Source organism: Homo sapiens, chromosome 1, assembly GCF_000001405.40.
Source record: "Homo sapiens chromosome 1, GRCh38.p14 Primary Assembly".
Taxonomy (NCBI): Eukaryota; Metazoa; Chordata; class Mammalia; order Primates; family Hominidae; genus Homo; species Homo sapiens.
In genome coordinates, this window is record NC_000001.11 from 219195205 (window position 1) to 219217580 (window position 22376).

Consider the following 22376-nt stretch of genomic DNA (forward strand, 5'->3'; position numbering starts at 1 on the left):
CCTTTATTTTGTAGGTATAATAACATGTAATAATTGGTAAAGGATCATTAAATAATGTCTTCAAGTCATAAGAATTGTACTTTGAAAAACTAATTTGGCAGAAGGGGTAAGTAAAAGGATGAGAAGTCTGACATGGAGAAACCAGTATAATATAATGAAAGTCTGAAGTGGTGTGGTGGCAATAGGAAAAGAAAAGATCAGGATGAGAAATTGCTTTAAAAAATAAAAGTACATTCTTCATAAGCAAAAAAATAGATAAAAGGAGAAAATACTCTGAGTAGTACTCTTAATGAGTGTGTATTGAAGAGTTTATCACACTGAATGGTAACTGCTGTCCATTTGTCTCTTGCCCCATCCTCTCTCTTCCTTTCCCAGATCCATTACTTTATCTAGTTCATCTTTGAGTACTAGAGATATTATGGATTTTCTGCAGTATATTACATTTTAAAGAATCCTAGTACAACAAAATCAAATCTTTTAAAAATTTTAATTTTATTTTAAGTTCCAGGATACATGTGCAGGACATGCAGGTTTGTTACATAGGTAAACATGTGTCATGGTGTTTTGCTATACCTATTAACCTATCACCTAGGTATTAAGACCTGTATTCATTAGCTGTTTATCCTGATGCTCTCCCTCTCACCGCCTCCCTGACAGGCCCCAGTGTGTGTTATTTGCCTCTCTGTGTCCATGTGTTCTCATGGTTCAGCTTCCAACATGCAGTGTTTGGTTTTCTGTTCCTGTGTTAGTTTGCTGAGGATAATGGCTTCCAGCTCCATCCTTGTCCCTGCAAAAGACATGATCTTGTTCCTTTTTATGGCTGCATAGTATTCTATGGTGTACATGTACCACATTTTCTTTACCCAGTCTGTCATTGATGGGCGTTTGGATTGATTCATGTCTGCTATTGTGAATACTGCTGCAGTGGACATATGTGTGCATGTATCTTTATAATAGAATGATTTATATTCCTTTGGGTGTATACCCAGTAATGAAATTGCTGGGTCAGATGGTATTTCCGGTTCTAGGTCTTTGAGGAATTGCCACACTGTCTTCCACAATCCTTGAACTAATTAACATTTTCATCAACAGTGTAAAAGTGTTCCTGTTTCTCCACAGCCTTGCCAGCATATTAAAAATTCAAAATTCAAAAATTCTTGAATTTTTAATAATTGCCACTCAGACTGGTATGAAATGGCATCTCATTGTGATTTTGATTTGCAGCTCTCTAATGATAAGTGATGTTGAGCTTTTTTTCATGTTTTTTGGCTGCATAAGTGTATTCTTTTGAGAAATGTCTGAAGAGTCATTTATGACAAACCCACAGCCAGTATCATACTGAATGGACAAAAGCTGTAACCATTCCCCTTGAAATCCAGCTCAAGACAAAGATGCTCTCTCTCACCACTTCTATTCAACATAGTATTGGGAGTTCTGGCTGGGGCAATCAGGCAAGAAAAAGAAATAAAAAGTGTGTTCAAATAGGAAGAGAAGAAGTCAAACTGTGTCTATTTGCAAATGACATGATCCAATATCTAGAAAACTCTATCGTTTCAGCCCCAAAGCTTCTTAAGTGGATAAGCAACTTAAGGAAAGTCTCAGGATACAAAATCAATATGTAGAAATCACAAGCATTCCTATACACCAACAGTAGGCAAGCAGAGAGCTAAATCATGAATGAACTCCCATGCACAATTGCTACAAAGAGAATAAAATACTTAGGAATACAAAGGACTTCCTCAAGGAGAACTACAAACCACTGCTCAAGGAAATAAGAGAGGACATAAACAAATGGAGAAACATTCTATGCTCATGGATAGGAAGAATCAATATCATGAAAATGGCCATACTACCCGAAGTAATTTATAGATTCAATGCTATGCCCATTAAACTACCATTGACATTCTTCACAGAATTAGAAAAAACTACTTTAAAATTGGAACCAAAAAAGAGCCCATATAGCCAAGATAGTCCTAAGCAAAAAGGACAAAGGTGGAGGCATCATGCTACCCAACTTCAAACTATACTACAAGGCTACAGTAACCAAACAGCATGGCACTGGTACAAAAACAGACACATAGACCAATGGAACAGAATAGAGATCTCAGAAATAAGACCTCACATCTACAACCATCTGATCTTCAACAAATCTGACAAAAACAAACAGTGGGGAAAGGATTCCCTATTTAATAAATGGTGCTGAGTAAACTGGCTAGCCATATGCAGAAAATTGAAACTGGACCCCTTACTTACACCTTATACAAAAACTAACTCAAGATGGATTAAAGACTGAAATGTAAAACCAAAAATTATAAAAACCCTAGAAGTAAATCTAGGCAATACCATTCACAACATAGACATGGGCAAAGATTTTATGATGAAAATTTCAAAAGCAATAGCAACAAAAGCAGAAGTTGACAGATGGTATCTAATAAACTAAAGCACTTCTGCACAGCAAAAGAAGCTGTCATCAGAGTGAACAGACAGCCTACAGAATGGGAGAAAATTTTTGCGATCTATCCATCTGACCAAGGTCTAATATCCAGAATCTACAAGGAACTTAAACAAATTTACAAGAAAAAGAAAACCCCATTAAAAGGTGGGCAAAGTACATGAACAGATGCTTCTCAAAGCAGAAACAAATCTTAAATGAAGTTAAACACACATATAAAAACAGTAGCAGGAGAGGTTACCTGTTTGAGCACCTATATTTTCTTAGAGGGAATCATGTCTTACCAGCCAGATTGCCCATAAACCTCAAAAAAAGTCACCTGGGAGAAAAATATAACACAAGACTTGATTTTTCAATGTCTGTAAGCCCCCTCAAACCCCAAACTTGGGGCTCACTGAATGAAGATAATTTGTTTTTCCATTTTCTTCTTGAGAAAAAGATGATTTTTAAAAATCAGTGCCTTTGATATATTTTCAAAGTCCGACAATGTGATTGATTAAATCAAGTCTCTTGTTGAATTTTTCTAATGCTCCAGGGTAGTTTTCTGATTGACAGCATATACAGAAGTATTTCAGCATTCATTGTAGAAAAGCTAGCAGAAATGACCAGTCAATTATAGGCACCAAAAAAGAAAAAAAACTATTATTAAACATTTTAAGTAGAATAGCTTATAATATATGCATATATGTACATATTATATATGCTATATATAATCCAGTTTTCATGGGTGATATAAAAACTATCAGAAATGTTTTTAAAGTATAGTTTAGAATTAATTTTGACATAAAAATTTACAGTAATTAAGATTTTATCATGATTACACATTTGATATATTTTTTCTCATAATGGAAATGAAATTACATAAGTTATTAAACATTTATGAAAATAAATTTAACATTCACTTAAATATCTATTGCTGTTTCTTTTGGGTTCTTCCAGAATAATTTTTTCTTATTCTTTACCTTAATTTTTAAGGGTATTCAAGAAGATCTCCATGTTTATAAAATCTAAGTTAACCATTTCTCCCCTTTTCATTCTGATGTATAAGTTTACAGCCCAGAAATAGGTTGCTAAAGCTATGTTTTAATATTACGTGAATGCACAAAAGATGGTAAGTAAAATTAGAAGTGAACTAATTTCAGACATTTCCTATGATATAGTTGGTTAAGTTGAAAAAAAGCTACGTACATTTTTCCTGGTTCCCATACCCCACCAACACAAACTTGAGCTTTTCATCAAATACAGAGGTTGTTCTGTTTGTGTTTTTAAATGCATTTGTCTACTTACACATGACATATAACTATTCAAAGTATATATATCATAATATATGTGGCAACCAGAAGGTCTATACGTGAACATATGAATGATGATTTAATTAAGCAGTTCTCTTCCCCATTTATTTCTCAATACCAAGTAGTATGCGTACTCCAAAGTATGGTCATTCAGTGAAAAAAAGCATTTAGTATTTCTTTCTGTTAATGAGTTGGAGGTACTAATATATGTATGTGAGTCCCTCAGTTACCCTGTGCAAGACAAATTCTTTTAGGTATGATTAGAATATCCGAAGATAAGTTAGAAACTCCTCTTTTGTATATTTTTTATGAGGTGAAATGAGATCCTGTACAGACAAGAAGTATTATTCTGTTCATGAATAATCAACCTTTCAATCAATTTTAATATTATTTAAGTGTATGGTAAAAAATTTTATAACACTTCTTTTTAAAATGGGGAAAAATTGTACAAGTAAGCATGATCAAACCTCTCTTAAAGCTGGTTAATACTGATCTTTTTTTTTTTTTGGAGACAGAGTCTCGCTCTGTGGCCCGCCCAAGCTGGAGTGCAGTGGCAAGATCTCGGCTCACTGCAACCTCCACCTCCTGGGTTCAAGCAATTCTCCTGTCTCAGCCTCCCAAGTAGCTGGGACTACAGGCACACGCCACCACGCCCGGCTAATTTTTTTTTTTCTTTTTTTTTTTGAGATGGAGTCTCACTCTGTCGCCCAGGCTAGAGTGCAGTGGCGTGATCTTGGCTCACTGCAAGCTCCGCCTCCTGGGTTCACGCCATTCTCCTGCCTCAGCCTCCTGAGTAGCTGGGACTACAGGCGCCTGCCACCACGCCCGGCTAATTTTTTGTATTTTTGTGGAGACGGGATTTCACCGTGTTGCCCAGGCTGGTCTCGAATATTATTGCCTTCAAGTGTCCAAGAAATTAAATTTAAGGTCCATCTGAAGGAAAATAGCAAATTTCACTGGCCTCACAGAGAAGGAGCCATCATCTTTCATCAAGAGATGAGTGCCACACACATCCATCCCCAGGATATTAGACACCTGGACAGCTAGCTGCTTCCTTTGTTCACTCAGTGAGCCCATTATCCCCACACCACCTAGTGAGCAGTTGCTTTGCATCCTTCCATCTGTTGAACAATGTAACATGGTGCCAACCATACAGCCTCCCATGACAGTGGAACATATATCCTGTCCCTGAAACTCTTCTACATGCTTCTGGAATTGGTATAGAGCTTCATGATGAATAAGATGGCTTAGATCAGCCAAATAAATGGTGCTTATCTCGAGCCAAGAAAACAGCTTTACCTCTATGACCCCATGTATTCTTCACTACCATTTGTAGCTCCAGTACTTCTGTTTCATCAGTCATTTTAGCAAAATTTTTATAGCCATCATAAGAAAAAGTATCTGACAGAGGAACACCATGGCCAACCAACTCTTGAAATGCCCACCACTTATTAGCACATTTCAGGATGGTTTGAGGTCAGTTCATCAACTGGCATTCCATCTTCTCTAGATGGTGCAAAACATTGATATCACCCAAGGGTTGGACTGTCACTGCCACCACGTGGGATAAGCAGTTGATCCGTAGACCTGCTTTCCTTGTTGGATTGTTGATACCACATCATCCATCACCACAACCCTTGGCCTTCACAGCATTTGGCCTTCAGTGCTCACAAGATCTCTTTTGGGGGTAGTGTTCCTGATGCCACGATCTGTCAAAAACCACAACTCGGCAGCCAAAAGAGCTACACATCTTGATCTGCTTGCTCTTCCTTGCTTGGATTATTTCCTCTTCAGTATAAAGTTTATCACTTGATTATAGAAGATATTATAAAGAAGAGAGGAACAGCCAGGTGAAGAGATATATATGGCAAGGTCTGGAAGGGTCCTGAGGACAGGAGCTTCTGTCTCCCCGGAGTTGCCTCCTGGTACAAGGAAGCAGTCCACTAACCTGGAATCTCTGGATTTTCTTAAGGTCTGAGAGCCAATATGAATTTTGAATCTAACTTTATTTCATTTTAAAGCCAACGATTCTTACATTTAGCTGAACTTTTTTAAGATTCTTAATACGTATTATCAAATTCCTGTCACAAAAAAAGTGTACCAGTTGATACTTCCAACCATCTTTAGAAGAATTAGAACCTTATTACATTGATTAATATGGTCTTGAAAAAATTTTTCTCAAAATAAGTACACAGGAAGTGGTAACTAATTTTAATTTGTGCTTAATTTGTTATTTTCAATTCCATTATAGTTTGACATAAAAAAACTTTTAAAATCTTTTATAATTGTTTTGAAATAATTTCTGAGTTTAAGTTTTCTCATTAGAACGTGGGTGAATATAAAATAAATTTTCTACTGGTTTTTCTAGTGTTGCTTTTTTTTTTACACTGAATTATTTGACTCATCTGGAGTTTATTTTTGTTTCTTTCTACCATATAATGGAAGACTATTTTCTGAAGTACCAAGAGAACCTTGTTAAAAGACAGTCTTATTTATAATTCTAAAGCACCAGTTATATGGTCAGTATTTTGTTAAGCCTCTTTTGGGTTTATGAGAATAAAATTTCTTTTTGGAAGATATGTTGACTTATGAAATTATAAAATCTAAGATTTATTAATTTCATATTATAATATATAATATACCAAATTAAAGTGGGGGTAAAAACATTTTTTGTGAGATGAGCTAATTAATGTCTATAAAGCCTCTTTTTTCTACATTGAGATACAGAAAGAGACCACAAAAGTGCAAAGGCAGTCATGTTTGTTTTTGTTAACTGTATAGTTCTTTAACCAGCCAGTGAAAATAAATCTTCACTAAGTTTTATGGAATTATACACATGCCACAAAACACACGTTTCTTGACCTCTTATACTGTGACAAAACATTAGTGCTATTACCCCACTTTTCATATGCTGGATTCTTCACATACGTTAGTTATTGATTCATAGAGCAAATAATATTCAAGTCTTTTGTTGCAGTTTTTTGTTGTGGTGGTTGTTTATCTTAGTGATCTAGCTGAACCTCTCGTATGTATTTGTTGTTTACCTTAGTGATCTAGCTGAACTTCTCATGTATGTATTCCCTGAGTTAGAAACATCATAATTACAAATGCCCTTAAGCTGACATCATATAACATAGTTAAGAACTTGGGCTCTAGACTCAGAGTGCTGAGTTCTAATCCTATATTCCTCACTTTGTAGGTGTCCAGTCTCCTTATTCTCTGTGTCTTGGATGATGGTAATAATATCTACCTTTTAAAGTTGTGGTAGTTGAACTAGTCAGTTCATGTGAAATACAAATGTGTCTGACATGTAATGTTGAAAAAGTTTTCTTGCCATTATTACATACTTCATACCACCCATCCTATGGTCACCTGGATAGCAAAAGGCCACACTGGAACAGTGGTACCACTTGGAGACTTACAGGTAGCTTAGTTGTTTCTTCCCTACCAGCTGCTTACTTTTTCCTCAGTGGTATATGAGCTCTGCTTCCCTCTTTCTTTTTCATTGCTCCTAGATTATTTAAACAAGAGTTACTGTTTAGTATTTTTCTACTAGCTTTTATACTTTTGTACAGTGTCTATTAGGGTACATTTAAGTTGTTAGGTCAGATTTAAGTGCTATTCATAACGTTTTAATGAAGGAGGGATTCAGTGGGAAATAAAAGAAAAATGCATTTGAGATTCCAAACAATTTTTATTAAGCACACACAACCCATAGTGAGGAATGAAGTTAGGTAATTTTTTTTTGAAACAGGGTCTTGCTGTGTTGCCCAGGCTGAAGTGCAGTGGCGTGATCATAGCTCACTGCAACCTAAACTCCTGGACTCAGTGATCCTCCTGCATCAGCCTCTTGAATTGTTAGGATGATAGGCACTTGCCACCATGCCTGGCTGTTTTTTTTTTTGTTTGCTTGTTTTATGTAGAGATGGAGTCTCTCTATGTTGCCCAGGCTGGTCTCAAACTCCTGACCTCAAGTGATCTTCTGCTTCAGTCTCCCAGAGTGTTGGTATTATACCTGTGAACCACCATGTCTGGCCCAGGCTAGGTTTCTTTTAAAAATGAATTATAATGGGAAAAACTAGCAAAATGTAAGATTGGAAAAGAAATATGAAGGGGATAGGTTCAAAAGTTGTTAACCTTTTATTTTGTTTAATAATCTGTTCAGATTTCTGATTTAATGTAAGACAGTATGTCCTAATGGGACCCAATCTCTGAGAGTGTAGTTGTGTTTGTGTAACTTTATAAAACAAAACTACTCTCTGTATTTGATGTAGATAGGAGCCCATTCTTTGCGGTTTTATTTGATTAGTGGTACTTTGTTATGTTGAACTCAGTTTTACAAACTTTTTTTTTTTTTTTACAGTATGTGATCTTCTACCTTTTCTAGGTAGTGTGTCTAGCTTGGACAGGTCAAAAATGATACTTCTCACTAAATTTTATTTTCAAATTGTCAATAAAATGTTATGTGCTGGAGTATAAAAGAAACTGAGAAATTTACAGTCTAGTAAGGCAGAGAGGGAAGTAAAGTATTCTAATACTGTACAGGTATTATTGAAGAACAATGTCGAAGGTATAGCGTAAGCAGCAAGGAGAGAAGTAAATCTTTCTGGGAGTTGGGAACTGCTTTGTTGAAGTGGCAACTGAGTCTTAAAGAATAATTGAGAATGTGACTGGTAAACAAGGACAGAAACATGTTCATGAAAGAAAGCAAGGGACACATTAAATCCTTCCAGGAAATAGTTTGGTGTACATCCCAAATCCTAGTATCATTGAATTATATACAGGGAGTGAATGATGTGATCAAATGGGCATTTTAGAAAGATTATGCTGACAACTCTGGAGGGCTGACTAGTCAGTGTGAAGGTCAGAAAAACAGCAAGAAAGCAAATGCAATAGATCTAGTAGAATGATGAAGTGCTAAACTGACACACTATTTTAAGACTTCAGGAATACCAGGATGAGTAAAACTACATTTAAAATTTTAATCATCTGTGGGGTTTAGCTATGAAAATTTTTTGTTTTCTAAGCTTTCTGCAATGGATATGCACTGCTTTCTTAATAGAAAAAATAGTAAACTTTGTTAAGAGAGAGAGAACTCAGCAAAAGGCTCATTACAGGGGATGTTCAGTTAAAGGGGGTTCCTTGGAGACATTCATGGATCCTCACTCTGCACATTAGGAATATAAGAAAAATGTTGATTTTTTAAAATTTATTTTTGTATATTTATGTTTCATATGATTCTACCAGACATTAAGATAAAACTTAGGGAAAACAGGCAATAGAATAGTGACTTTTAAATTACTTTTCGAAAGTTGGCAGTATAGTCATTGACAGAACCAGGATTCAAATTCTGTATTCTGAGAAAATTATTAATAATAGATTGTCCTGCCTTCTTCTGGCTTTATTAACATATTAACAGTGTCCAGTGTGCAGAATATAAGCATTTTATTGTCAGTACATTCTCCATCATTATTAAAGCCTGTCTTGAACTCTTCATTTCCTTCTAGTTTGTTTCTGTCTAAGACAGGAAACTGGAGAAAGGTATATCATTTTTCCCTTGTGTATTGTTGTGCTTAGAAAGTACATATGGTAGAGATAGCTTTAAATTAATTGGCATCTATATTGCACTGGATAGTTTTAAAATTGCCATTACATGTCAGTGTTTTCTATTTAGGTAATGTTTTAAGTTCTGAAGTTGTTTTTATATACATTAGATCTCCTGGGTCTTGCAGTAGGTAAAAGTAAAGTAGGATATAATTATTTTCATTTCAGAGGTGAAGAAACTAAAATTCAAAGTGTTCCTGGCTAATACAGAGTTGGGACTAGAACCCGGGTCCCCATAATACCTTCCTTTATTGGCCACTAGGTGGTGATAATTCGTTGTTAAGAGAGAATACTGTTATAATTTAGGCTTAACTTAGATCTAGGATGTATAGAACCTGACAAATGATATGAATAGATTTATCAGAATTTTGATAATATAAGCATATTATCAGAATTTTGAAGCAGAGAGAATCAAGTCTTTCTGGAACTACACTGGAGTAATTTACGTGGATGATCTAAATATCCATCATGACAGGAATGGTTGAGGGAATGATGGCCTATTAATAGAATTGAGTATTATGTAACCATTAAGTACTACATGCACACACACATAAAAAGCACTCAGTAGGCCGAGGCGGGTGGATCATGAGGTCAGGAGATCGAGACCATCCTGGCTAACAAGGTGAAACCCCGTCTCTACTACAAATACAAAAAATTAGCCGGGCGCGGTGGCGGGCGCCTGTAGTCCCAGCTACTCGGGAGGCTGAGGCAGGAGAATGGCGTGAACCCGGGAAGCGGAGCTTGCAGTGAGCCGAGATTGCGCCACTGCAGTCCGCAGTCCGGCCTGGGCGACAGAGCGAGACTCCGTCTCAAAAAAAAAAAAAAACAAAAAAAACAAAAGCACTCAGTAAGTATGTGTTCAATTAAAAATAATTATAAAATTTTGTAATTCTGTAGAAAGACTTTCAAATTAGTATTACATGAAAAAAATAAGATACATTGAACATGTAGAGTTAGTTTAACTGTAAAAATGAAATTTAAGAGAACATGTCAAAATTCTGTACAGTACAAAATATTGTAAAATTTTGTACAAGAAACTTTTGTACAAGAAACATTTTGTACAATGGGTGTATATTAATTTTGCAATAAGATTAAAAATAAAAATAAATGAAGGGATAGTTAGAATTCCCAAGATGAAGTCTAGCATCAAAATTTCCAGCCTGCCTTTTTCTGAACTTGTACACGTTTTCTCTATAGCCCAGCTGGGAGCTAAAACTTCAGAATGATAGCATTCTTCTACTTTCTTTGAACATATATGTATTTTAATTAAACATTTTATGTTTCTTCAACAACTAGTAGGACTTTAAAGGCTCTGGACTGTTGTTCTAACAGTTTTCCATAGAGGAAAATAAATATTTTGTTTATCCCACAAGTTTTGTATGAGAGGAGATATCCAAATAAATGTAATAGTCATAATTTCTGTATTCCCAAATCTGAAGAATAATTATAATAGTATACCAGTTAAATGGAAGAGGTGTTGAAATTTAGAATGGTAATGGACTTTATTGCATGTTTAAAGTTCTTTTCAGTTGATAGCACACTTTAAGTGGATTTTTTTAAGGATTTTACTTTCAGATTGATTATCTTAATGTTCCTAATATAGTCTTTTTATAGATTGTTTCTGTTTTATTTTATATAAAGAGTTCATAAAGCCAGGTTTATTATTTTTTAACATGTTTTATTCAGCTTGTTAATCTTAAGTGTATGTTGAAATGTTAACTCTTGACATTTTAAATACTTTGCCAGCAACCGTAAATACCCGTTATAACCATTACCTACAATGGATTTACTATTTTCGTATTTACTTATTGAACAGTAGATTTTATATCATTTTTTAGACTCTTAGGTGGAAAATTGAATTCAAATAACTAGTTCTTTGTGTTAAATTTTCTTCTGTTAGGAAAAAATACACAAAGTCCCTTTTCACAGTAGTGTCCTATGCTAAAGGTCATTGTATTGTCAAAGACGGCTAGTGAGGAGTTGCAGATTACCTCACAAAATCATAAATGGGAAAGGGACTTAGATTAAATCTTAAAATAATAATATTTCAATGAGTATATTTTTCTTCATTGTAACTTAAGAGAATTAAACATGAAGTTAAATGTCTGCAGGATGCATTTATGTGTATTCATAATGACATTTTATGTGCGGGTAAATGTTTTCTTTCTCTCTTTTTTTTTTTTTAAGTTGTTACCATCAAAAGTCTCTGAAACTACATAAAGTGATTACATTCCCTGGTCAACAAAAATGAAGTGTTTGTCACTTCATATGTAAAATTTTCTTGATAGTTATGCTTTTAAAATCTCTTTTTAATGTAAGTTTTTGCCTACTAATCTTTTATTTACATTTTATCTTTTAATGATCTTTATCTTAGCCTCAAAATTATCTATGAAATACTAATTTTATTTTTGCTTCATTTATAAATTTTGAAGCTTTTTTCAATCATTCGTACAGCTTAGATGGTCTAGAACTATGGTAGCCACTAGCTACATGTTGCTCTTTAGTTAAATAAAATATAGAATTGGTTCCTTGGTCACACTAACATATTTCAAATATTAATTAGTTACATTTGGCAGACACATAATTCAGGCTCTTGAATTTCTCAGAAAAAAATAATAAATTTGCTCCTGCAGCCTTGTTATCTATCGCGTGTGGATTTTCTTTAAATGGTGACCATATTTTAACTTTTTGTTTTTACCCATTTTACTTAATTTTGAATTATTTGCCACACAGCTGTGATTCTCAGACATCTGATTTATGGCATAAGAGCTTTTAAAAATTAGACATATGCAGTGAGATTTTGTTAGTGGGTCTGGGATTGGGTCTAAAATCTTTATTTTTAAGAGGTCAGATTAGGAATGATGGGCTTGGAGCACACTAATCATTCATTCCTAGATTTTGTAGGTTTTTTTAAGCTTTACTTTTATATCAAATTAAATCACCAAAAACCTACATTTTCTGATGATAAATTTGTCTCCTTGCAGAGATATTGTTACTGAGTTACAGTTACATTGTTCATTTGTTTAATAAGTATAAGCACTTTCTGTGTGCCAGGCACTGTTGTAAGCATAGAGGGATACATTGATGAATAAAACACAAAAATCCCAGCTCCCATCATTAAATTCTAGTGAAAGTTAAGTCTTTATGTCCCAGAATTTTATGAGAAGAATCAGCAACAGAAGTGGCAGTATGTAGAATGTCTGATTTTGAATTTTATGTTTAATAAAGATCCATTTAATAAATTCTATTAAGGAATTCAATGCTAAGAAAAATTTCTAGTATGACTTGTTATGATTCCTTCTGTTAAAGAATATTGCCTTGCTACAGAGAAACTGTTAAATGCCCAGTTGCACACGTAATTACTGCCCCCACCCTAACATCATGGTCTGTAAGTCTCTTTTTTTATTCTCTGTGTCTCACTCTTTGCTCAAATCCCATCTCTTCCTCTCTCACATTCTCTCCTATTTTAGAGATGTAGTTTTATTATTAACAGTGTGTTTGATTTTAAGCAACCTGAAATTCCTTTGTAAGTAAATGGGCTGTAAAGAACAGAGGGGAAATTGGAAGAGATGAAGGAAGTGAGTGTTTGGTAAGCTCTATTCTGTGAACTTTTAGGAAAGCTAGAATTGTGTTCTGAGAGATAGGGATTCTTAAACTGAAAGTAGATTTCTGTATTTACAGTAACTGTACATTTTAAAAGTTCTCGCAATTTTAGTTTTTATAACTGATTAAGTATTTGTATTTAAAAGGTTGGTGGAAAATCTAGAGATTAGTCCATCTATCTTGTTTTACTATAAATGAAATCCAGCATTTTAAATAATTTACACAAAGACATTCAGCTTGGGAGTATCACAGGCAGGACTAGAACTAGTTTCCTTAATGTTGTCTCTTTGATAAGCTTAAGAGATATTTGTAAATTTTTTACTACTTTCATTAGAAACCCATACGGTTTCTAAAAATTCAGTTAAATTTTTATTGAGTTACTGCTATGTGCAAAGCACTATACTTACCACTGAGCGTGTAAAGTTGAAACTGACTCATTAGTATGCGTGCACCACAGAGACACTTTGTTCAGCTAATCATAAGCACTCAATGAAAATATGATTATTGAAGAAAAACTGTTTCTTACCCTTAAGGGTTTCAAAATCTCAATAATTTATATTCAATAAATTAAATCGATAAGAATTTTATTTCAAAATGTCTTCGCTTTACAACCCTCATGATGTTATTAAAGAGAAAACTTCATAAGCAGAGAGAAATCTGTAACTAGAATTGTGGCAAAAAACAATAAAGTTGAGATTTTTTTCTGTGTACTTACAATAAATGTTTACCAGAAATACTAATTTGTGTATTTACGTAAGCTGTTCATATCTAAATGGGACATGTCAAAGATTTATTAATGCACAAATTCATGGATAATGTAGCCCAGTGGCTTTTAACCTTTTGGAGAATCTAATGTACATTTGCAAATTTTACATACAGTGTTAAGATGCTTATGCTTTTTTCTCCCCCACCAAGCTCATTTATGAACTTCTAATTAGATGTATCTACATCTGGAGTTATTGGGGGTATTTTGAAAGAGCCTTTCAGGTGGCTCTTGTCCATGGTGGGCTACTGCTACGATAAGAACTTATTATTTCTTGCTGGTATGTTGAAAATCACAGATAACTTTTATTCATTATTTACATAGTGTGCCTTTTTTAAAAAATCTAAACTTTGCCAGACTGGTAATCTTCTCTCGGGTATTTGTGTTCTGAGTCCAAAATAATATTACCTGCCTATTCCAGATAAAGTAGTCCTATTTTAATAAATATCAAGGGATAGTAGAAAGTATATTAAACTCTATTGCAAAAGATCCGAATTCCAAAATTACTATTAATAGTTTTATATTTAAAATAATATGTACCTAATCTTGGGCCTCAGTTCCCTCCATGTATAAAAGATTATTGTAGTAAATTCAAATTTATGGTCTCTTAAGAGCTCAGCTTTACACTTTGTTAAGTGAAATAAAGCAGCAGACTTGAAATTAGGAGATTTGAATTCTACTTCAAAGTATATTTTTGTATTTCTATGAGTGTGTGGCTACATGATTTACATTCTGTATTTTCTCATGGAATATAATGAGATGTCATTTAGCTTTCTCTCAAGCTTAGGAATGTCACACTGAGTCACTGACTTGTCGTCAGGCCTGGAATCACCATTCTCTCTGCTGCCGTCACCTCATAACAGCTATCTCCATATTCTGTGTTGGATGTGTTTCCTTCTCAAAGTTCCCCTGAACAGGAGGGTCTGTGTATTTTAATCTGCATATATCCAGTGACTGGCATAGAATTGGTACATTAAAGAGACAATAACAGTTTGACTAATTTTTTTTTCAAACTTTGGTTTTAAAAACTACATATAGGCATACATGTTTCATTTTTATTATATCACCATAAATTAGTTTCCAAAATAATATTGTAATCCAAAAATGTGTTAACTAGCTCCTCAAATTTTTTTTATCATTCTTAATTCAGAATTCACTAAGCATCTATTATATAGCAAACACCAGATACATAACTCCTTATGGAGCTCACAGCTTAGCAAGTAAGACAAAAAGGTGCAAATTATTAATTGCGTTGCAGTGTGAGGGTTTCTGTACGTGTAAACAAAATATAAGTAAATATTGAGAATTTAAGTAATGCTTGTAATATGACTCATTTTGAATTACGATAGATATTTTACTTGGTGAACATGATATATTTGTTTAATCCTGGCTCCTTGTAGAGCACAGCTCTCTTTACCAGTGGTGACATAGAGGGAACAGGGTTATTTATGTTATCGCAGGCCTTTGTCTGTGAAACTTAGAGTAGACGAAATTTCTTTTTAGCATTCTCTTTAAAGGTCTCCAGATATTTTAAAAATATGGAAAATTGTTATATATCATATCCTAAATTATTATTTTATGTATTCTACTTTTAAGTATGTTTTTGTTTTTAGGAGGATTCTCTATGGGAGGATGCATGGCAATACATTTAGCATATAGAAATCATCAAGATGTGGCAGGAGTATTTGCTCTTTCTAGTTTTCTGAATAAAGCATCTGCTGTTTACCAGGTAAGTTCCAGATTTAAAAAAAAATGAAAAAAATATGAAATATATACATGTTAAAACTAAAGCAAAATCGGTAATAAAGCTGTAAAACACACACACAGTTGATGCACAGTTGATATGGATTGACCATTCCTGGAATTCATGGCCAAATGAGTCGTAGTGATTAAATTCCAGCTGATCATTAATGTTTTGGAAATCCCCTGTACAAGAAATATTGTTAAGCAAAATGTCAAGGAGGAAAGGATAATCATGTGTGTGGTTGTGGGGGAGCATATATGTAAATTTTATACATATTAAAACTGCATGATGGTTATAGCTGGGTTTGCTTATTGCATCATGAACATAAAACAAAAATCAATTACATAGCACATACTTATTATGCAGCAATATCCTCATCTATGAATATGATGCAGCTTCAATTATAATGTTACAGCTTCAGTACCAGAAGTGGAAATGTTAAAGCAGATACAGAATAGAGAACTAAAATGTAATTGTCCCCTTGATTGTGCCTTAGCTGTGTACTCCTCCCTCCTTCCACATTGTGTGAAGAGGTCTGTCTTCCCAAGTCACTTAGTTTCTTTAGGAAATGCTTTGGCCATTTTTAAGACGTCCTCTATAGAATAAATGTAAGTGACACACAGTTACAAATTGAGTGATGCCAGGAACCAGCTAAGTCCCCAGGCCTGGCCCACCAATGTATACCTCAGACAGCACTCCCTCTGCCTTTTTTTTCCCATTAGTTATTGAAGCCTTGGTAAAATTGGAATTTTCCTGTTCTCTCTGATTTCTAAGAATGATCTTAAATGGAATTTCTTAAACTTTTCTGTCTTTGTATCTTCTTCTCTAGGCTCTTCAGAAGAGTAATGGTGTACTTCCTGAATTATTTCAGTGTCATGGTACTGCAGATGAGTTAGTTCTTCATTCTTGGGCAGAAGAGACAAACTCAATGTTAAAATCTCTAGGAGTGACCACGAAGTTTCATAGTTTTCCAAATGTTTACCATGAGCTAAGCAAAACTGAGTTAGACATATTGAAGTTATGGATTCTTACAAAGCTGCCAGGAGAAATGGAAAAACAAAAATGAATGAATCAAGAGTGATTTGTTAATGTAAGTGTAATGTCTTTGTGAAAAGTGATTTTTACTGCCAAATTATAATGATAATTAAAATATTAAGAAATAACACTTTCCTGACTTTTTTATTATTAAAATGCTTATCACTGTAGACAGTAGCTAATCTTATTAATGAAAAACAATAGACAAACATCTGTGCATAATTTTTCAGACACAATTCTGTAAATATTTGGAAACCTTTTAAGTATTTAAACTTTTAAATTTTTGAAATAAAGTATTCTAAACTAATATAAATAAGGACAATGAAAAAACATGAAAGGACTTAGCATAATGTTATTTTATCTTTTCTACAACTTTGTTTAAATTACCTTTCCAAAGATATTTGTGTTTATGTAATTTTCCACGGAATAACATTAATACTCTAGGTTTATAAACCGGTTTCACATTATTTCATTTGATCATCACAAGAGCTTTGTGAAGTAAGCCGAGAAGTTGTTACTGGTATTTAATAATAGCAATAGAGGAGTTAAAGACTTTCCCACAGCTTGCAGGTCAAGACAAGAAATTCAGGTCTCCTAATTCTCAGTGGAGCTCTATTTCTGTTAACCCAAATTGCTGCTCTGTTTTAGGTCTCAATTTCATCTGTAAAATGATACTAATAGTACTTATCCCATTGGATTTTTGTTGAGATTTAAATAAATAGCCAAAAGCCAATACATAATAAACACTCAATAAAGATTAACCATAAGGAGAGTCATGATCTGGTTCCAGGAATACATTGTTAGATGACTGAAAAATTGTATTACTTCAATGAAAATACTATAAATAATAACATTTTCATATATTAGTTGGTTCTCATGCATACATAATCTAATTTTATTTGATCCTCACAACTGTTTAAGTTTTATTAAATATACATTATCCCTATTTGTATAAATAGAATCATACAATACCTGCCTGCTTTCATTCAACAAAATTATCATGAGATTTTTCCATGTTGTGTACATCAATAGTTCATCTATTTTATTGCTCAGTAATATTCCATTGTGTGGATGTATCACTATTTGTTTACACATTCACCACTGATATATAAGTTGCTTCCAGTGTGAGGCTGTTTTAAATAAAGCTGCTATGAATATTCATGTAAGAGTCTCTGCATCGACCTATGTTATTTTTCTTTGGTAAATAAGTAGGAGTAGAATGGCTGGGTTATATTTTAGGCATACTTATAACCTTCCAAGAAATAGCCAACTCTTTGAGAAAATAGTTGTGCCATTTTACATTCTAGCAGCAGTGTATGAGAGTAGTATTGCTCCAGATCCTTGCCAACACTCATTATGACTCCTTTATCCATTCAGTAAGTATATGGTAGTAATATATTGTGGCTTAATTTACATTTTCTAAATGAATGTGTTAATTTTTATATGCTGATTAACAGTGTCTCAGCACTATTTGGTGAAACAACTATCATCCATGGAAATATTTTTGCACCTTTGTCAAAATTCAGCTAGATCTTGCCTTTGTGGATCTGTTTCTGGGTTCTCTCTTCTGTTCCATTGATTTATGTATCCATCCTTCAACCAGCATCACATAGTCTTAATTACTATAACTGTATAAGTCTTGAAATCAGGTAGAGTAAGTCCTCTCAGTTTATTTTTTTTTCAAGATTGCTTTTGACTGTTTTTGTTCCTTTCCTTTCCACATAAACAACCTTGTCTGTATCTACAAAAAAAAAAAATTCTTGCTGGGATTTTGATAGGAATTATTTTAAACCTGTACATCAATTTGGGGAGAATTTGCATCCTTACTATGTTGAATCTTCTAATCCACAAACATGATATGTTACTCCACTTATTTAGATACTTGATTTCTTTTATCAGCGTTTTTGAGGCTTTCTCCATATAAGTTCTGTACCTATTTTGTTAGATTTATACTTGTATTTTATTTTGCGATTGATTATAAGTGGTTTGTACTATTTTCAGTTTCCAAGTGCCCTTTGCTAGCATATTGAATCACAATTTTTATATGTTGGTCTTGATCTTATGGAGCTCAATTATTAATTTTAGGAGTTTTTCTGTAGATTTTTAGGATAGTCTGCAAAGATCATTATGTCATCCACAAACTGAAACAGTGTTATTTCTTCCTTTCCAAATATATGCCTTTTATTTTCTTTTGTTTGCATATTACACTGGCTAGAACTTCTAGTACTATGCTGAACAAGAGTGGTGAGAGCAGACATCCTTGTCTTGTTCCCAGCCTTAGGAGAAAGCATTCAGTCTTACATCATTAAATATGTTAGCTGTAGTGTTTTAATACATGTCCATTATCAAATTGATGATATTCCTCTCTGTTCCTGCTTTTCTGAGAGTTATTACGATGAATGGCTGTTGAATTTTGTCAAATGATTTTTTTGCAACAATTAATATATTTGTGATTTTTCTTCTTCAGTCTGTTACTGTGGTGCTCAATTTTGGTATATTGCGTTAGCTTTGCATTCCTGAAATAAACTCCCTTGGTTATATTGTATAATTTTTATATATTGCTGAATTGTATTCACTAATATTTTGTTAAGGATGTTTGTGTCTATGTTCACGAAAGATTTTGGTCTGCAGTTTTTGCTTGTTTTGTACTATCTTTGGTTTTGGTATCAGGACAGTATTAGCTTCATAAAATAGATTGGGTAGTATTTTCTCCTCTTCTGTTTTCTGGGATAAATTATATAGTATTGCTATTAATTTTTCCTTAACTGTTTGGTAGATTTCTTTAGTGAAATCATCTGGGCCCAGAGATTTCCGCATACTATAACTTTTTATCTTCTTACAGCAATATTATGCCACTTCACATTTATTATAATAACCTTTCATATTTCCCTTCCCAGCCTGTATGCTACTTTTGTTATTTTGCTTATAGATATAAGTTGCATGTACCATCAACGTCATATTACTTTATTTAAACCAGCAATTTTTCTTTTCTTTTTTTTTTTTTTTTTGAGATGGAGTCTTGCTTTGTCACCTAGTCTACTAGAGTACAGTGGCGTGATCTCTGCTCACTACAACTCCACCTCCTGGGTTCAAGAGATTTTTGTACCTCAGCCTCCCAAGTAGCTGGGATTACATGCACCTGCCACTATCCCCAGCTAGTTTTTGTATTCTTAATAGAGATGGGTTTTCACCATGCTGGCCAGGCTGGTCTCAAACTCCTGACCTCAAGTGATCTACCCACCTTGGCCTCCCAAAGTGCTGGATTTACAGGCCTGAGCCACTGCACCTGACCCAGGCAATTTTTCTTTAAAATGAATTATATAATGAGAAAAAATCTTACCTATCTACCCATGAAGATACCATTTCTGGTGCTCCTCAATTTTTTGTGAAGACCTGTATTTTTTTTCTGGTATTTTCATTGTGACTGAAGTACATTCTTTAATATTTCTTGGAGTGCAAATCTGGTGATAAATTTCAGCTTTTGTGTCGATGAAGTCTGTATTTTACATTTGTTTTCGAAAGGTGTTTTCACTGAGTGTAGAATTCCAGATAAACATGTTTTCTCTTAGTGTTTTAAACATGTTGTTTTCCTATCTTCTTACTTGAATTATTTCGGACAATAAATTTTCTGTCATTTTTATCTCTGTTCTTCTGTATCTATTGTGTCTTTTTATTCTTGCTGGTTTTAGTAGTCTCTGTTGACCACTGATTTTGACCAACTTGATTATTGTGTGTCTTGGTATAATTTCTCACGTGTCTTGTGCTTGGAGTGCCCTCTGATCTTTGTGGGTGGTTCTTTCCCCAGCCTGAGGGTGTTTACTCACACCCATGGTGATCAGTAGTCTGCTTAATACTCAAGATAGACCATCTCTAGATCTCAGGACTTCTCTCTCTGTGCAGTTCACTTGTCTCTCATACTCTGCCCTATCAAATGTAGCCAGCTTGATCTACTCAGACTCATAACTGTGTCTCATCTCAGGGAGTCCACCAGGCTTTGCATGGATTTCCCCTCCCTGTACTGTGGACTGGGACTCACTTAAGTCAGTAAGCCAGAGTAGTCATAAAGCTCACCCTGTTTGTTTCCCATTTCTGAGGGTTCACTGTCCTTTACTACCCAATGTCCACTGCTTTTGAAAAGACATTTTTTCTATTATTTTGCCATGTGTTTCTTTCTTTGTTTCAGGTGAAAGAATAAGATTCCCTGTTACTACATCACAGCTAGAAGCTAAATGATCCTTTAAAAAGATTTTAAAATTTTTTATATTACCCTTACATTTTCCTTTTCTATTGCTCTTCATTCCATGATATAGCTTTAAATTTCCATATGGTGTCATTTTCCTTCTGCCTGAAATACTTCATGAAGTTCATTGATCTTTTATTCTAAAATGCACTTATTTTTCATATCAGATACTGTTCATCTCTAGTTTTTTTATTTCTTACATTTTTCTATATAATAGGCTTAATCTCTGCCTTTTTGAATATATGGAATATAATTATAGCAATTTTTAATATTTTCTGAGTCTATCATTTTTGAGTTTGTATATATTTTTATTCTCATTAAGGGTAGTATTTTGTTGGTCCCTTTATAATATCTAGTGACTTTTGATTGGATTCTAGACATGTGAGCTCTATCTTGTTAAGTGCTTGGTATTTTTGGATTTCTAAATATTCACAAGTTTTGTCATGGAATACAATTATTGAAAAGTATTAAAAACTGTTTTATCCTTTCAGACTTTCTTCTGTGGCTTCCTGGTGGTAGCAGAGCAGTGTTTAGTTCAGGACTAATGTTGCCACACTACTCAAGCAATACATTTTGTCATACTCTATATGATACTGTCTGGATTGTGAGGTTTTTACACTATAGCTAGCGGGAACACAAACTTCTCATCCTCATGTGAGCCCCACCTATTGCTCCTCTTCCTTTCAGGAGGTTCATGGTTTCCTCACACATATCTGATGACTAGTACTCTACTGAAGAATTGCGGGGGCACCTCTGCAGATCTCTGGTACTCTGTGTGCAGTACTCTACTCTGTGAACTCTAAGCTCTTGACCTCTGTGGACTCCCAGCTCAGTATCCTCATGGCCCCAGCTAGATCTCCCTCCCCAGGCTGCAATCTGAAAACTGATACAGACAGTAAGCCGGGGCAGTCCTTAGAGCTTACCTCATTTGTCTTCCTTTCTTAAGGAATGACTGTCCTGTGCTGCCAGAGTACAATATGTAAAAACATATATGTAGTACAGCTTTCTAGTTGTTTCAAGTAGAATTAATTTGGACCCCATTATTCCATCTTGATCATATTGGTCAAAAGTAGAAGTCTCTTCCTTCCTCTAAGACTGAGAATTTAATAAAATCCCTTCAGAGAAGACTCAACTCATGCAGTGCTTTAATTTTCTAAAGCTTTTAATGACCTTCACTTTGAAATATTGAATGTTTTATCTTGACCATATTCTGTGCCATTCATGTTTAAAATCCTTATGGATGCATTTTGCCTTAAGAGTAGCATACATTTTATATGCATGTGTCATAGATATCATGCTTGTGACATGTTCAGTGTATATACCAAATATAATTTAAAGGAAAGAAATCCAGATTTTTTAATGAATGCTTGTTCTGTAAGTCTTTAACAAAATGAAAAGTTAAACAGATTCAAGGTATCGTTAGTATTGTTTTGCCAGGTTTGGTGTGTGTGTGTGTGTGTGTGTGTGTGTGAGAGATGGTTGTAAATCTTTCTTCACGGACTGAGTTATGTGTGGAAGATATATCGAAATATTTTATATAATCTTCAATCCTGGTCCTCCATCTAATTAGCTGTTAGGATATTCAGTCTTAGTTATGAACTCTTCATTCTAAATCATGCAAGGTCTGGGCCCCTTGCACAGGG

The 22376-nt window shown here is 34.1% G+C and overlaps 1 protein-coding gene and 1 pseudogene across 29 annotated transcripts in view, besides 1 other annotated feature; one reads left to right on the top strand and one right to left on the bottom strand.

Annotated features, from left to right (window-relative positions):
• The window catches only part of LYPLAL1 (lysophospholipase like 1), a 271619-nt gene that overhangs the window by 21327 nt on the left and 227916 nt on the right, over positions 1–22376 (top strand). For 22 of the 29 annotated variants that reach the window (XR_007078557.1, XR_007078562.1, XR_001736967.3 and 19 more), the window contains 2 exons: positions 15328–15443; positions 16288–16548. Coding sequence is in view for 10 of the 29 variants with exons in the window: in XM_017000271.3 (XP_016855760.1) it covers positions 15328–15443; positions 16288–16524 (353 nt within the window). In the remaining 19 variants the exon portion in view is untranslated. Of the gene's footprint in view, positions 1–15310; positions 15444–16287; positions 17655–22376 lie in introns of those variants that run through there. The other 7 variants (NM_001300771.2, NM_001350628.2, NM_001350629.2 and 4 more) reach the window with 2 other exon arrangements.
• On the bottom strand, positions 4648–5702 carry RIMKLBP2 (ribosomal modification protein rimK like family member B pseudogene 2; annotated as a pseudogene).
• Positions 20362–20431: an enhancer, noted in NCBI's record as "active region_2546". NCBI's record gives its function as "activates an Ori minimal core promoter by ATAC-STARR-seq in GM12878 lymphoblastoid cells {active_cell/tissue: GM12878}" and the evidence as "EXISTENCE:reporter gene assay evidence [ECO:0000049][PMID:35858748]".